Source organism: Homo sapiens, chromosome X, assembly GCF_000001405.40.
Source record: "Homo sapiens chromosome X, GRCh38.p14 Primary Assembly".
NCBI classification, from domain to species: domain Eukaryota; kingdom Metazoa; phylum Chordata; class Mammalia; order Primates; family Hominidae; genus Homo; species Homo sapiens.
In genome coordinates this window covers 125,083,630-125,096,954 of record NC_000023.11, presented here as the reverse complement: position 1 = coordinate 125,096,954, position 13,325 = coordinate 125,083,630, and the positions used below count along the sequence as shown (strand labels likewise).

The window sequence follows — 13,325 nt, the reverse complement described above, 5'->3', positions numbered from 1 at the left end:
AAGATTAAGGTAGTTGAAAAATCAGCCCTTTTGAAGCATGCACTCATTGGAGGAAAAGTTTTTTTTTTTTTTAAATCATTACTCTGCTACTAGTATTTCTCTAGAGTTTCTCTCATCAGAAACTCTGGTCCAGGTGTCATGGGGAATTAGGATTGTTTGTTAGGTCTGGATAACCAAGTATTACAGACTTCGAGGGTAGGAGGAAACCTTATGGTCATTTAGACCAACACTCATCTGATGTTTGGATCTCTTCTGTTTTTAAAAAGAGTCCCACTTACAGAGAACTGCCTCCTGAGACAGCCCTTGTTCAGTGTTTTCTCAAGAGTGTTCTCTTTAACACCAGCCTCAAGAGGTACTACAAAAAGAAGTGTTCCATGTTCAAATAACTTTGAGAAGCAATAGTCACCATATCGACTTTGAGTATTCCTGTAGAAAATAAACCTGTTTATATCAACTTGGAGTATCCCCCAACTTATTTGGTCATGGAAACTCTTTCTCCAAGAAAACATGCTTTAGTATTTCATTCCACAGAAAACTCACTGTAGTATGTGTTTTTTTCCAGATAATACATATTTATTAAAGCAAATTAAAATTGCATTGGCTTTTTGGATTCATATAAAACTGACCTTTGACTTCTTGAGTCTTATTTTTTAGCACAACTTGCTGTTTAGCCACATCAGCATGTTTTGTTTGGCTTGACTTTTTGGTCTTAAGTATTGGTCTTCGTTTTTACATTTTGTCTTGTTGGAACCACCCTACCTCTCCAGCTTGGCTTTTTGGATCCAGGCTAAGTCATCTTGTACATTCTTCAGCAGTCTGAGATCTGTACTATTCACTGATGTCATAAGCATACTCTCTTCATCTTTATTCATTTTGTTGATTGGAAATGATGAGCAGGACTGGACAAGGTTGGTATCACTCTATAAACCATCACCCATTGATTCTGACTGTTAATCTCCCAAATTAGTAAAAAATTTTTCAGAAGAGAGTTTCCAATAATCCATGCCTCTAGCCTTTGTGGTTTGCAAACCTTTTTTTCAAGAGCCAAATCATGTTTCCCTATTTTTAGCTCTCCAATTTTTTTCTGAGGAGAAACTGGTAATAATATGGTTTCTAAATATAGTGGCTCATCAGCTCTTCATAAAACCAATGCCATCTCTTTTGAAGAAGTAATGTTGGTCAAAATCCTGCCTCATATTTTGCAGAATATGTTTTTGGAATATCTTAAAACATCCATGGTGTCTTTCTGTGCATAGATAATTTAGTTTGTATGGTTTCGGTATATTTGCGTTTGTATTGTAATTTTCTGTCTGAAGGAATAGTTTCTTGAAGTTGTATACGCTAATTAGTATAGTTTGTAAAATAATAGATACTTTTAAATGTGTGGGAGGCACAGCTTTCAAATGAAGTATTTAAATATAATTGCTGTTTAAACATTTAACTTAAAAGATGTGTATTAATTAATTTTTCTATAACTAACTGCAGGTTTAGGGTGGCTTATTGTTAATTAATCTCTGCACAAAGCAAAAAAAAATCCAATCTGTTGCCCAAACTTACCTGAGACATCCTATTTTAAATGTACTTTATTTATATTTATGCAAGTATGTTTGCAAAGGTTTAGCCCCAACTACTTATTAACACTAAATTGGATCCTGGAGAAGATTTTTTTGCTTTGTTTGCAAATCCCTAGTGTAGTATTACTGAGATTTTGAATCTACTTTTCAATATCAGAGCATCTTTAAATGTTCATTGTTAAGGTCAACTTACAAAGGAGTGTGTCAGAAGCACTAGAGAGCTCAAGTTCTGAGACTGAAAAGACCTGAGTTCATGATTGACACCATGCCATTTTCTAGCTGAGTCACTTTGAATAAGTTATTTTATGTGTCTAAATATCAGTTCCTCATTTGTAAGATGAAAAAAGGATGATGATGGATACCTACCTCATAGGATTGCTTTAAAGATTACATGAAGTGTATTCAAGTGAAGCACTTATCACATTGCCTTACACACATTAAAAACTGGATAAGTGATTCTTAAGCTCTTAAGTTTTATCTATAAGAAAAACCCTTAAAATGTCCACGAAAAGTTGGCATGTTAAAAATGAGACTTTAATTTGCACAAGGTTCTGACAATCAAAATAATCATATTTCTCAGAAGTCTTCTATTTTCATGATGATGATGGATTATATCACCTGACTTATACAACACGGTAGCATATTTGAAATTCAGACCATTTCAGAAAATCTGTTTCACACAGTCACCACATCAATAGAACCCAAAACATATCTCAATCATAACACCACATTGGGCTGAAATGCATCTTGTAAGTAGGACAAGTAGGGTAATAGGATCTACTGCTCTTGCTAGGCCAAGATGTGGTCCAGACAGTCAGTCAGAAAACAAACAAATAAAAACAAAATAATGGTCCCTTCCCATTGGATACTTAACTCGCCTGAATTTGTCAAAGTGGCAGTGGGCTTCTTTAAGATAATTTATGTTTAGGACATGGCTCTGGACATTTTGTTTCCCTATCAAAGGCAGCTAATTTGATTAAAATTTTGTCTGGATATTTTTCATTTCTTAGGTACAGCCTAAGTTACAGAAATACATGTACCATGGCTCTGAGTGAAATATCTTTGGGTGGAGTAGACCCCTATTTAATATTAAAAGTATGATGAGATTTAATTATCACCAGTCCTGTAAGGATTCAGAGGATGAGACCAGCCAACAGCCCAAGTCCTCTGAAGAGACAGCCTCAGAGAACAAATTCAATAGATGATATCAGACAGTCAGCAGGGCCTCAGGGACGCTGGTACAAATTACTTTCTGCACAAGGAGGCCCTGCTGAGGGGGACGTGAATTTGAACTGTAACATAGCCTGCATTCAACTCACAGTGGGCCCTTTATAGTTGTTCAGCCTGAAGGTGGCACCTTGTGGTAATTCTTCCACGCAGAGGAAGAGTCTTATTGTATTTTAAACAAAGGTGCTTCACAATGAGTGCAGACCTGGCAATCAGTTTCCATTCAGACTTTGGCTCTGCTCCCATGTGTCTTATAACTGTATATGAAGGGACAAGACCCTTTAATAGAGAATTTGCCCTGTTTTAGGAGCTAAATGACTTGGTCCCTCCCAGAACAATGCTTTTCTTTCTATAATATTTCTTGAAATGATAATTTAGTAAGGTAAATGATACCTTAACAGTACAATAAAAAAAGAACTGGGACTTTGTAGTCAGAAAGCCATAAAGCCCTGGATTTTCTTTCTAATTTCAGTATCTCCAGGCTTTGTGACCTTGATCAAGTTAATGGAAAATGGGGCATGTATAAATAAATCAGATTGACTCTCTATAACATTTTAAATGGTCATATATACGCTGTAAATGTTATTAAATTTCAATGAAATTTGGTACATGAGTAGAAAGAAATGAATGATTTATGAGACAAAGAAATGACTCTCTTTGCTATTTTAAAGCAGAATCATCATCCTATCTATAATATTTACCTTAGGTGAAAATCACCTCTGGTGCACGTTGACTGATAGAATATATGTATGATACTTTACATTTATGTGAATTCAGGAATTCAGAGAACCATTTCTTATATAATGGCTGCCTCTGGGACTTAGAGGAAGTGACTCTTTGTGCTGTAATCTGGCCCTTTGGGGTTTGAGCTGCAGAGAGGAGAGGACCCATGCCGCTATGTTTTGAATATTTTGAGATTTGAGAGCAGCAAACCAGATCACAGAAATCAGCTGGTGCTAGGTCCACTGAGCTAATCTTACAAACATTTCAGAAATTGACAGGTGGCCTACAATAATCCTATTCTGCTAATAAAGTTTTTTTCTTTAATTTCTCTAGTAGAATTAGTTCTGTAGAGAAGTGCCCATTCCATACAGAATACACTTATCAGCAATAATATTACAAGGTTGTTATTCACACAGGAATGGGAAAAGCAACTGGAAGTTCTAGTAGCTTTGTTGCTACATTAATAGATTCTGCTGTCAGGCATAAGTTGTTCTGCAGGAATACTAAAAAGTAACCTAAGAATAAATAGCTACAAAATCAAGTTCCAATAATATCCTTATAATTATTACTAGCTCCAGGATTGTGGAGAAAAGCCTACTGGAAAACGCTTACCATTCATCGAAATATTTTTAGTAAACAACACTGAATCATAAAGAATGTTCTGTGTGTTGGTTGCTAATTGTTTTTATAAATTGATCTGTGATTCACTTACTTAATTCTGTTCCATATCTGTTCCTTATTATTTTCTGGTAGGAGTTGGTTCAGAACCCATATTAATTTATGATTTCTCTGGTTCACAAATTCCTACTTTACTCACATTAGACCATAGAATTAAGCTCCATCCCCAAATTGTTTTTTCTATCATCTACATTTTTTGATATCACATCTACTGTTGCATTTTACTTCCCTAAAATGCATTGTTTTTCATATGACTCCTTTTAATGTGTCTTTGATTTTTTAAATTGTTGTTTCCATTGGTGACATTTTTGAGAGTAATGTTAAATTAGTTCTACAACTTCTTTTGGCTGCTATAAAGTCTACAAAACTGGAAGTGTAAAGTAGTATCAGAAAGAATGATAATCTTATAATGCATAAAATACTTAATCAAGTTTAACAGAACCTTTCCCAATCCTTTTTTTGATTGAATAGCTTACTTCTGTTGGGATCCTTAGATTGACAAGCTGATTAGGAAGGAAATGTGTTTGGTAGATTCTTTGAGTTGTCACATTCTAGACAGTTTCATTTTGATGTGTGCTTTAATTAAAATAAATTTATATACAAGGGTGCGGCATAATTTTAGCAGTTGGTAGAGATTTTTGGAAGCTTCTTTTTTCTATTTTCCTAAGGGTATTTTTCTATTCAAAACATCGCATTGGCAGATAGTGGTGTGAATTTATCCCAAGCTCTATGAAACCAATCTTTTTTTTTTTTTTTTTTTTTTTTTTGAGACAGAGTTTCACTCTCGTTGCCCAGGCTGGAGTGCAATGGCGTGATCTCGGCTCACTGCAACCTCCACCTCCTGGGTTCAAACGATTCTCCTGCCTCAGCCTCCCAAGTAGCTGGGATTACAGGCATGCACCACCACGCCTGGCTAATTTTGTATTTTTAGTAGAGACGGGGTTTCACTATGTTGGCCAGGATGGTCTCTATCTCTTGACCTCATGATCCACCCACCTCGGCCTCCCAAAGTGCTGGGATTACAGGTGTGAGCCACCATGCCCGGCCTCTCCTAGGTTTATGTGTTGGGTTACCTAGCTGATAAATTGGGATCTTATAAACTTATATTGTGAATGCACACTGGGCTAGTCCCCTTACCTGTGAAATGGCTTTCTTGGTTTTATGTCTACCTGAGGGCAGGTGTCTTGCCATCTGTTCTTATACCCCCATGAATCAGCTCTCTGGACTCCCTGGTGGTATTTGCTTAACACACTCAACCTACCTGGTTTCCTGTTAGTTGGCTATGCTGCAATTTGAGGTGTCCAAATGTAGTGGAACCCTCAGCATTTCTTTTAAAAGACAGTCTTTTTATTCCTCCACAGTCAGCTTTGTTTCTCATTCCACCCAATAGCCATCTCCAGCTGTGTCTTCTTCCTTCAAATTAGATGATTAGGTTCTCCAAATCTCATCATGAAAATGGAAGTCATCAAGCATGAACTCCCTCAACTTTGCTCATCCTCGTCTTTAAAATGTTATCAAGCTTTTTTTTTTCTCTTTTCCTCCTGTCTTTGAGTAACAGGCGTGTTTTACCAATATGTTTTCATCTTTTTTTTCTTTCTACTTTCTTGTTGCAGGTCCCTTAACTCAGGCTGTCATCATCTGTCATTTTCTAACTATGATTGTCTCTAGTCTTCTCCACTAACTTGCCAGTCCATGCTCCACAACATAGCAAAAATGATTCACCACTCAAATCATGTTACTGAGTTGCTTTCAACTCTTCTTTGCCTGCAAATTAAAATCTAAAATATGTAACATAGCGAACAAAGTCCTTCCTAATCTGAAGTGTTATAATGTAATTTTCCCCCATTCCCCTTGATGCAGTCATAGTCACTGTTTTCTGGTCATACCATGCACATTTATATCCTGGTCCCTTGGTCTATGCAAGTATTTGTGTTCCCTTTCCTAAAATATCTTACCCACCTTCTGGACAGGGTGAGTTTCTACTCATCCTGCAAGACTTACTTGAAATATTGCCTCCATATGACACCTTTTCCAGTCCACCCCTAGGCAGCATTAAGTCCTACATATTTTCATGGCTGTGTTTGCATGCTTTCTTTTTGAGACAGAGTCTTGCTCTGTCACCCAGCCTGGAGTGCAAGGGTGCAATCATGGCTCACTGCAGCCTCTAACTCCTGGGCTCAAGTGATCCTCCCACCTCAGCCTCCTAAATAGCTGTGTCTACAGGAGTGTACCACCATGTCTGGCTATTTTTTTTTTTTTTTGTATATTTTGTAGAGCCAGGGTTTTGGCATGTTTCCCAGACTGGTCTCGAACTCCTGGCCTCAAGCGATGCACGTGTCTCAGCCTCCCAAAGTGCTGCGATTATGGGCGTGAGCCACCGTATCTGGCCTTTGCATACTTTTATTACAGCATCTCCACATTGCCTTGCAATTATCTGTTTGTGTGCCTTTCTGTCCTTAATAGCCTGGTGAACATCATGCCTTAGTCATCTTTGTTTCTCAAGCTTCTAGCATAGTGCCTGACATACAGTGGAAAGTCCCTACATATTATTGAATGAGCAAATGGAAGAATGACAAGTAAGCAGCTCGGGTTTCATTTGAAGCCTCCAATTCCAGACACTTGAAAGAATAAACAACATTACAAGAAAACTGGTGAAATTAAAGCAAGAGATGGCATAGATAATGACAGGTAATTACTGGATTGCAAAAGTCACACACTAGCTGAGGCTTTTGTGTAATGTGGGGAGTAGGAGGGGCAGGGATACAAAGAGAAATAGAGTGAGATAGAATGAGTAGCTGACAATGATGGAACACTTGACACACACAGACAAACATACACAGACCCCTAAATTTTCTATCTGGCACCTCCTTTTATCCTCTTAAGCATGAATATAATAAGCCAGTAGCTTACATCTTCCCCAGAAGTGCCTTCCCAAAGGGCCATGTTCACCACTTGACTATGCTCCTAAATGTCATTCCCTATGCTTCTCCATGGCTGAAACCCCACAAGGAGGTTGATTCAACTTACTCCCTTCCCCAACTACTGCCATTCTTAGTCTCCTCCCACTTGGTATTACAGTATGCCAAATATTTTTCTTGAGTTCTGTCTCAAAAGGCTCTAAATAGATCCAGCCACCAACTAAGAGACATGACATGTTTAAATTATATGAGCCTTTAAACTAAATGTGTTGAAAGGCTGCCCCATTTATTCATTTATCCACACATTCAACAATTAGATTATGAGTACCTACTGTGTGCCAAACCATACAGTACTGAGAAATATGTTTACTATACCCTTAGGGGATGATATCTTCTCATATATCAACTACAATGAGGCATTCCTTCTGCTTTTCAATTTTAAGCAGTTTTTTGGAATTTAGTTGAATAAAGCTAGGTGTCCCCAATAAATAGTCTTAAACCCAGCAATCTTAAAATGATCTGGCTGTAGATAATGCTAGGAATTTTTAACAAAATTGGGTCTTACAAAATAATTGGTTTTACCAATGAATTTGGGAAAACTATAACAGAGGTATCTTTAACCGTAAAAATGACCCCGAAAATTTATCAACCTCTCTGCAGACCTTTATAAGAGACCAGCACCCCAGTTGATCTTTTTGAGGTCCTTTGAGCTATAAGATCCTATGGCTAGAATTTATGCTTGATATTGAAGTTTCTGAGACAAACCTCTATGCGGCTTTATGATCCCTCTTTTTGGCATCCCATTTAGGAAAATGAACTAAAGTAAGTGGTCTTTGGGGTAATTTGGAATACAGTGAGTCCTTTTTACGTCACTGGTGATGGGGAACACTAAGATTTTATAGTGTATAGGTATTTTTGAAGCTATGATTTGACTCAATATATTTTATTTCCTACTGTCATGAGTTATGACATCGACTTTTCAAAATTTGTATAAATTTAAGGGGAACACGTGCAATTTTTGTTATGGATATATCGCATAGTAGTGAAGTCTGGGATTTCAGTGTAATCATCACCCAAATACCGTACATTGTATCTCACATTGACTTTTAGATAAAGTGGATTTGATGTTCAGAAAGGCTTATCTGTTTTTGTCTGTATACTCATTTTGCTCCAACAGGTCAATTTCCCCCCCTTTCTTCACTATAACTCCTTAATTTTTCTCACCTTTTTGTTACTTCTTTAAAAAAAATTTTAAAAAAATTAATAAGCTTTATTTGTAAATCAATTTTAGATTTTCAAAAAATTAAGCAGATGGTACAGAGATTAACCATCCTCCATTCCATGGAGTTTCCCCTATTATTAACATCTTGCATTATTTTGATATATTTGTCACAATGAACCACACTCATACATTATTATTACCTAAAGTCCCTGATTTATTCAGATTTCCTTAGTTTTTACCTACTGTCCATTTTCTGTTGCAGGATCCCATCCAGGATACCACATTACAGTTAGTTGTTACGTATCCTTAGGCTATTCTTGGCTCTGACATTTTCTCAGACTTTCCTTGTTTTTGATGACTTTGGCAGTACTGATTAGGTGTTTTATGAAATATCCCTCTGTTGGAATTTGTCTTGTTTTTCCTATGATTAGATTGGGGTTTGGATTTTTGAGGGGAAGATCATAGAAGCATATAAAATGCCATTTAATTCAAATCAAATCAAGGGTAAATGTTATCAACATGACCTATCACTGATAATGCTGGCCTTAGATCACCTGGTAGAGGGAATGTTTGTAAGATTTCTCCATTGTAAAGTTACTCCTCCCACCCACCTTTCTATACTGTAGTCTTTGGAAGGAAGTCATTATGTGCAGCCTATATACTTAATGAGAAGGGATATTCCACATCCTTGAGGGCACAGTATCTACACAAATTATTTGGACTGCTTCACAGGATATTTGCCTCATCTCCACCATTTATTTATTTATTCAATCATTTATATATATCAGTGTGGACTTACAAATATTTATTTTTTATTTTGGGTTATAATAATCCAATACTACTTTACTTTTTTGTTTCTCGAATTGTTCCAGTTTTGGTCTTTGGGGGCTCTTTCACTTGATTCCTGTGTCCCTTAGACATACTTCCAGCAATGTAGGGTTTTAGTGTTTTATTTGAGCATTTACTTACTTTTTGTTACAACAGGATGCTCTAGGCTCACTTTGTATTTTCACTTCTTTGCTTTTAATTTTAGTTATCTTAAGAGAAGCTGATAGAAGATCACAGCTGATCAGACAAAGCTTATTAATGAGTCTGAAAAGCAATGTGACCTCATATTTTTACTCATCTTTCATCTATGACTTCAGATTGTAGTTAAGAATTATTCTCATGCTTTATATTGGTTGTCCCCAAAGTTTAGCTGTTTTCTATGCAAGAAATCTGCAATTTGTGACCAATGATTTTCATAGATTTACAATGCCTTCAGTGGATTTTAGATTTACTGAATCAACAATTTGTATATAAAATATATATTTTGTATATAAAATATTGATAATATTCACTTTTTAAGGAATTGAAAAGTTTTATAGGTTATATTCTAATAGTAACTTAAAGTAAAGAGAGGCAATTGACATTGAAAATGATAAATAAGACAATGATTCTGAGAAAAAAACTTACCAGTTTACATATCCTGCCTATCTATACAAATATTCTATTACTTAAACATAAGTGACAGTAGAGATGCTCATGTATTACAGTATTCTCTCTTAAGGTCTGTCAGCATTTTCATTATAAACCTGCTTTTCAAGGGCATATAATATCTCTAAAATTTCATTTGGGATTTAAACTTGCCAAACACAATTGCAGACTAAAAATTCCTTTTGAATATTTAATCAGAATCATTGTTTTTGTCCCAGTACTTTTGCTTGTGTGATAGCGACTTTCTTTCTTCCTGTGTCTTGATAAATGGTTTCTCTCCCATCTGAGAGTGATGACTGTTGAATGAGAACATGGCCTTAAATTCTCTGAGTTTGATGGGTAGTGTGTAATATCATAACTCTTTGATTCTGCAGCAGGCAACTTCCAGCAGAGAATATGTTTTCTAAGTGGCAATGAGTGTTTCTTATTCTTCTTTTTTTAATGGCCTATTAATGTAGTCCCTATGAATTATACTGTATTTCTCTGTTGATGTGCCAGCAATAACCAGTTAGAAATTATAAATGTAAAGAAAACTTACCGACAATATTTTTAAAATAAATAATCTGTAAATTTTAGGAATTATTCCAGCAAGAAAAATGCAAGGCTTATATTTTCTTGAGAACTACCAAATTTTTTTCGAGAAACATAAAGTAGAATTTGAATAAATGGAGACATACACCATGTTCTTGACTAGGATGTCTGAATATTAAAAATATATGTTTTTTTCTGTTTAGTTGATTATAGGTTTATAGATACAGTACATTCCAAATTAATTCCTAGGTTTTATATAAATTCAACAACAAATTACCTTTACTTTTAAAATGATTATTCTGAAGTTCATTTTGGAAGAATAAACAGATTTTAATAGTTAAAATGTTTTTAAAACATGAATAAGATAATAAAATGCATCAAAGTTATAGTAATTACTAGTGTGGTAAAATTTTAAGAATGGAGAGGTGAATAACATGAACCAGATATCCTTGAAAAAATATTATTTTTATAAAACATCATAAGCAAAGGGGAAAATAATCATTTAATAAATAATTCTTGGAAAAAATGGCTATTTGGGAGGCAAGTATAAACCATAAAATCTCATGTTAGAGTTTTACTTTACACTCAACACCTAAATAATTTTTGAATCATTTAAGAGTTAAATATTTTAAAAGTTTAAGAATAGAAACAAATAGAATTTACTATTTAATTCCTTTGATGGTGAGAAAGTATTTTCTAATCATAAGCATATAGAAAAAAAATCACAAAAGAAAAAGATGCTGGATTTCAATTGACAGCAACCAATAATTTTTCCTAGTCAGAAAGCATCATTATCAGAATGAAAAGGCAAATCACAAATAGGGAAAATATATGCAACATATATAACAAAAGCCTAATGTCTGTAATATATAAATATCTCTTATAAATCAGTAAGCAATAATGAACACCTCTAAAGGAAAATGACAAAGATCAGAATAGGAAATGAAATGAAATATACATGGAAAATAAACATTTGAAAAATACAAGTTAAAAGCAGATTTTTGGACAATCATATTCACAAATATTAGAAATAAATTAAGTTTTTGTGAAGGTGTTGTGAGACAGGCACTCTCACAGTTAGACTTCTGGAGGAGTGTAAATTAGTATCATCTTTCTGGAAAGTAAATAGCAATATGTACAAAGAGCCTTAAAAAGCTATTAAACTTTAACCCAAGAATCTTGTAACTAGAAAATTACCAAGGGGAAATCATCAGGATGTAGACAAATATTCATATGCAAGGAAAATCCTTTTCTTATTAGTACTAATGATGAAAGACTGGAAAAAATCTGAAAGCCAACAAAATGAAAACATTACAAACATTACAGTACATCATTTATAATAGAATAATGGGCAGGTATTTAAAACCATGTTTGTATACATGATTTCAGTTGTCATTTGTGTAGGTAACATTTTTTTTTTTGCCCTGTATGTCTCCTTCCTGAGCCTGTTCAAGTTAAAATAAACGATTGGTAGTTGAGTCAATGAGAGTTTACAAAATTTCTAAAACTCTAGAGAGTCACTATTCCTTGGTTTACAGTTGGCTCTTTTGGCTTGGGTAGGAATGATGCTTTTATTGTAGGCATCAAATTACATGTGCCACTTACTTAGAGGACCTAACCCTGAAAAGACCTCAGAAACTATGCCTCAGTAAAGAACTCAGATTTCACTCCCAAGTAGGCATATAAAAAAGTTGACCATTCACATTCTGGAAATTCTCTTTCTTTGACTTCTGGGTTAATAGTCTCTCCTGGTTGTTCACCATATTTCTAATTAGTCCTCTGCTGTATCCCTAGTATGATCGGGGAGGTACAATGTAGATTTCTCAAACAATCTTTTGCCGTTCAAAATGGCTGTGCTTTGGGTTAAGACACCTAACCTATCATTAAGCAGTATGGTGAGTCTGTGATTTGGGGTCAGATTCCAGCCTGGCTACCAGTTAGTTGGTGACTTTGGGCAAATAATGTAACCTCTCTCCTTAGTTGTTATGGATTAAGAGGTGAAATGTATATGAACCACTTAATTCATTGCCTGGGATATAGTAGGCACTGAAAATGGTAGCTATTATTGTTATTATGATGATGTACTAGGGACTATGGAAGACCAATGAATTTCTACAGAAAATACTGATGTTTTTAGAAAAAGGTACATTAATAGGTAATACTACTAAAGCGACAGAATATCAGCTGAGCTGCCAGTCTAAGTATATAAGACATAAAGAAAAAAAAATAGTTTTCAGGAGACACTCTAAGCTAGTGGCAATGAGGCACCATGCTTTATCCACTTATCTATCCCAAAAACCAAGCACAGTTCCCAGGAGATAGTAGTATTCAATAAAGATTTTTTTGAATGGATGGATGGATGGCTGGTTGAGGTGTGACAAATCAAAGCCCCTGGTAGCCAGTGCATAATATGAAGGAATCCTGTGCATGTGTGTCAGGAGAAGAGAGGATATAAGTATGGGGAAAGGGGAGGGAAGGCTGAAACAAAGAGAAATAAAAGGGTATTGAAAAGATCTACCTCTCAACTTTTTGAGCAAAATCCTTCCTGTCTTCTATATTGTTTGAAACCCTGTTTCCACACACAGCTAAAACAGCTGAGAACATATTGGAAGAAAGGAAACATCTTGTGGTCTCACCTACAAACTTGAGCATCCCCACTTTCACTTCCACCCTCCTAGTAAAAATTATGACAATATGTCAATATGATAAGGCAGAGACTACTCCTGGGAGCTGTTCCTAAAGTCTGTGGGGATCCAGAATCTAGGCTAACAGGGCAATAAGACCATGGCTACAGTGACCTATTTTCTGAACCCTAAATTGGGACACACAGTCTGACCAAATATTTATTTTCAATATGTGGATATATTCATGTTAACAATTTCAAGAGTTGTATATATTGTATCTCCTTTAAATGAGTTACTGTTATTGAAAATAATAACATTCTCTGAAATTAGGGCTGTTCTAAAAAGTTGGAAG

The 13,325-nt window shown here is 35.3% G+C and overlaps 1 protein-coding gene across 11 annotated transcripts in view, besides 1 other annotated feature; it reads left to right on the top strand.

Annotated features, from left to right (window-relative positions):
- TENM1 (teneurin transmembrane protein 1) overlaps window positions 1-13,325 on the top strand; it is an 828,410-nt gene that overhangs the window by 107,358 nt on the left and 707,727 nt on the right. The gene's annotated exons all lie outside the window — the stretch shown is intronic.
- Window positions 1,728-1,928: a silencer, noted in NCBI's record as "peak7424 fragment used in MPRA reporter construct". NCBI's record gives its function as "represses an SCP1 promoter by STARR-seq MPRAs in K562 erythroleukemia cells {active_cell/tissue: K562}" and the evidence as "EXISTENCE:reporter gene assay evidence [ECO:0000049][PMID:32103011]".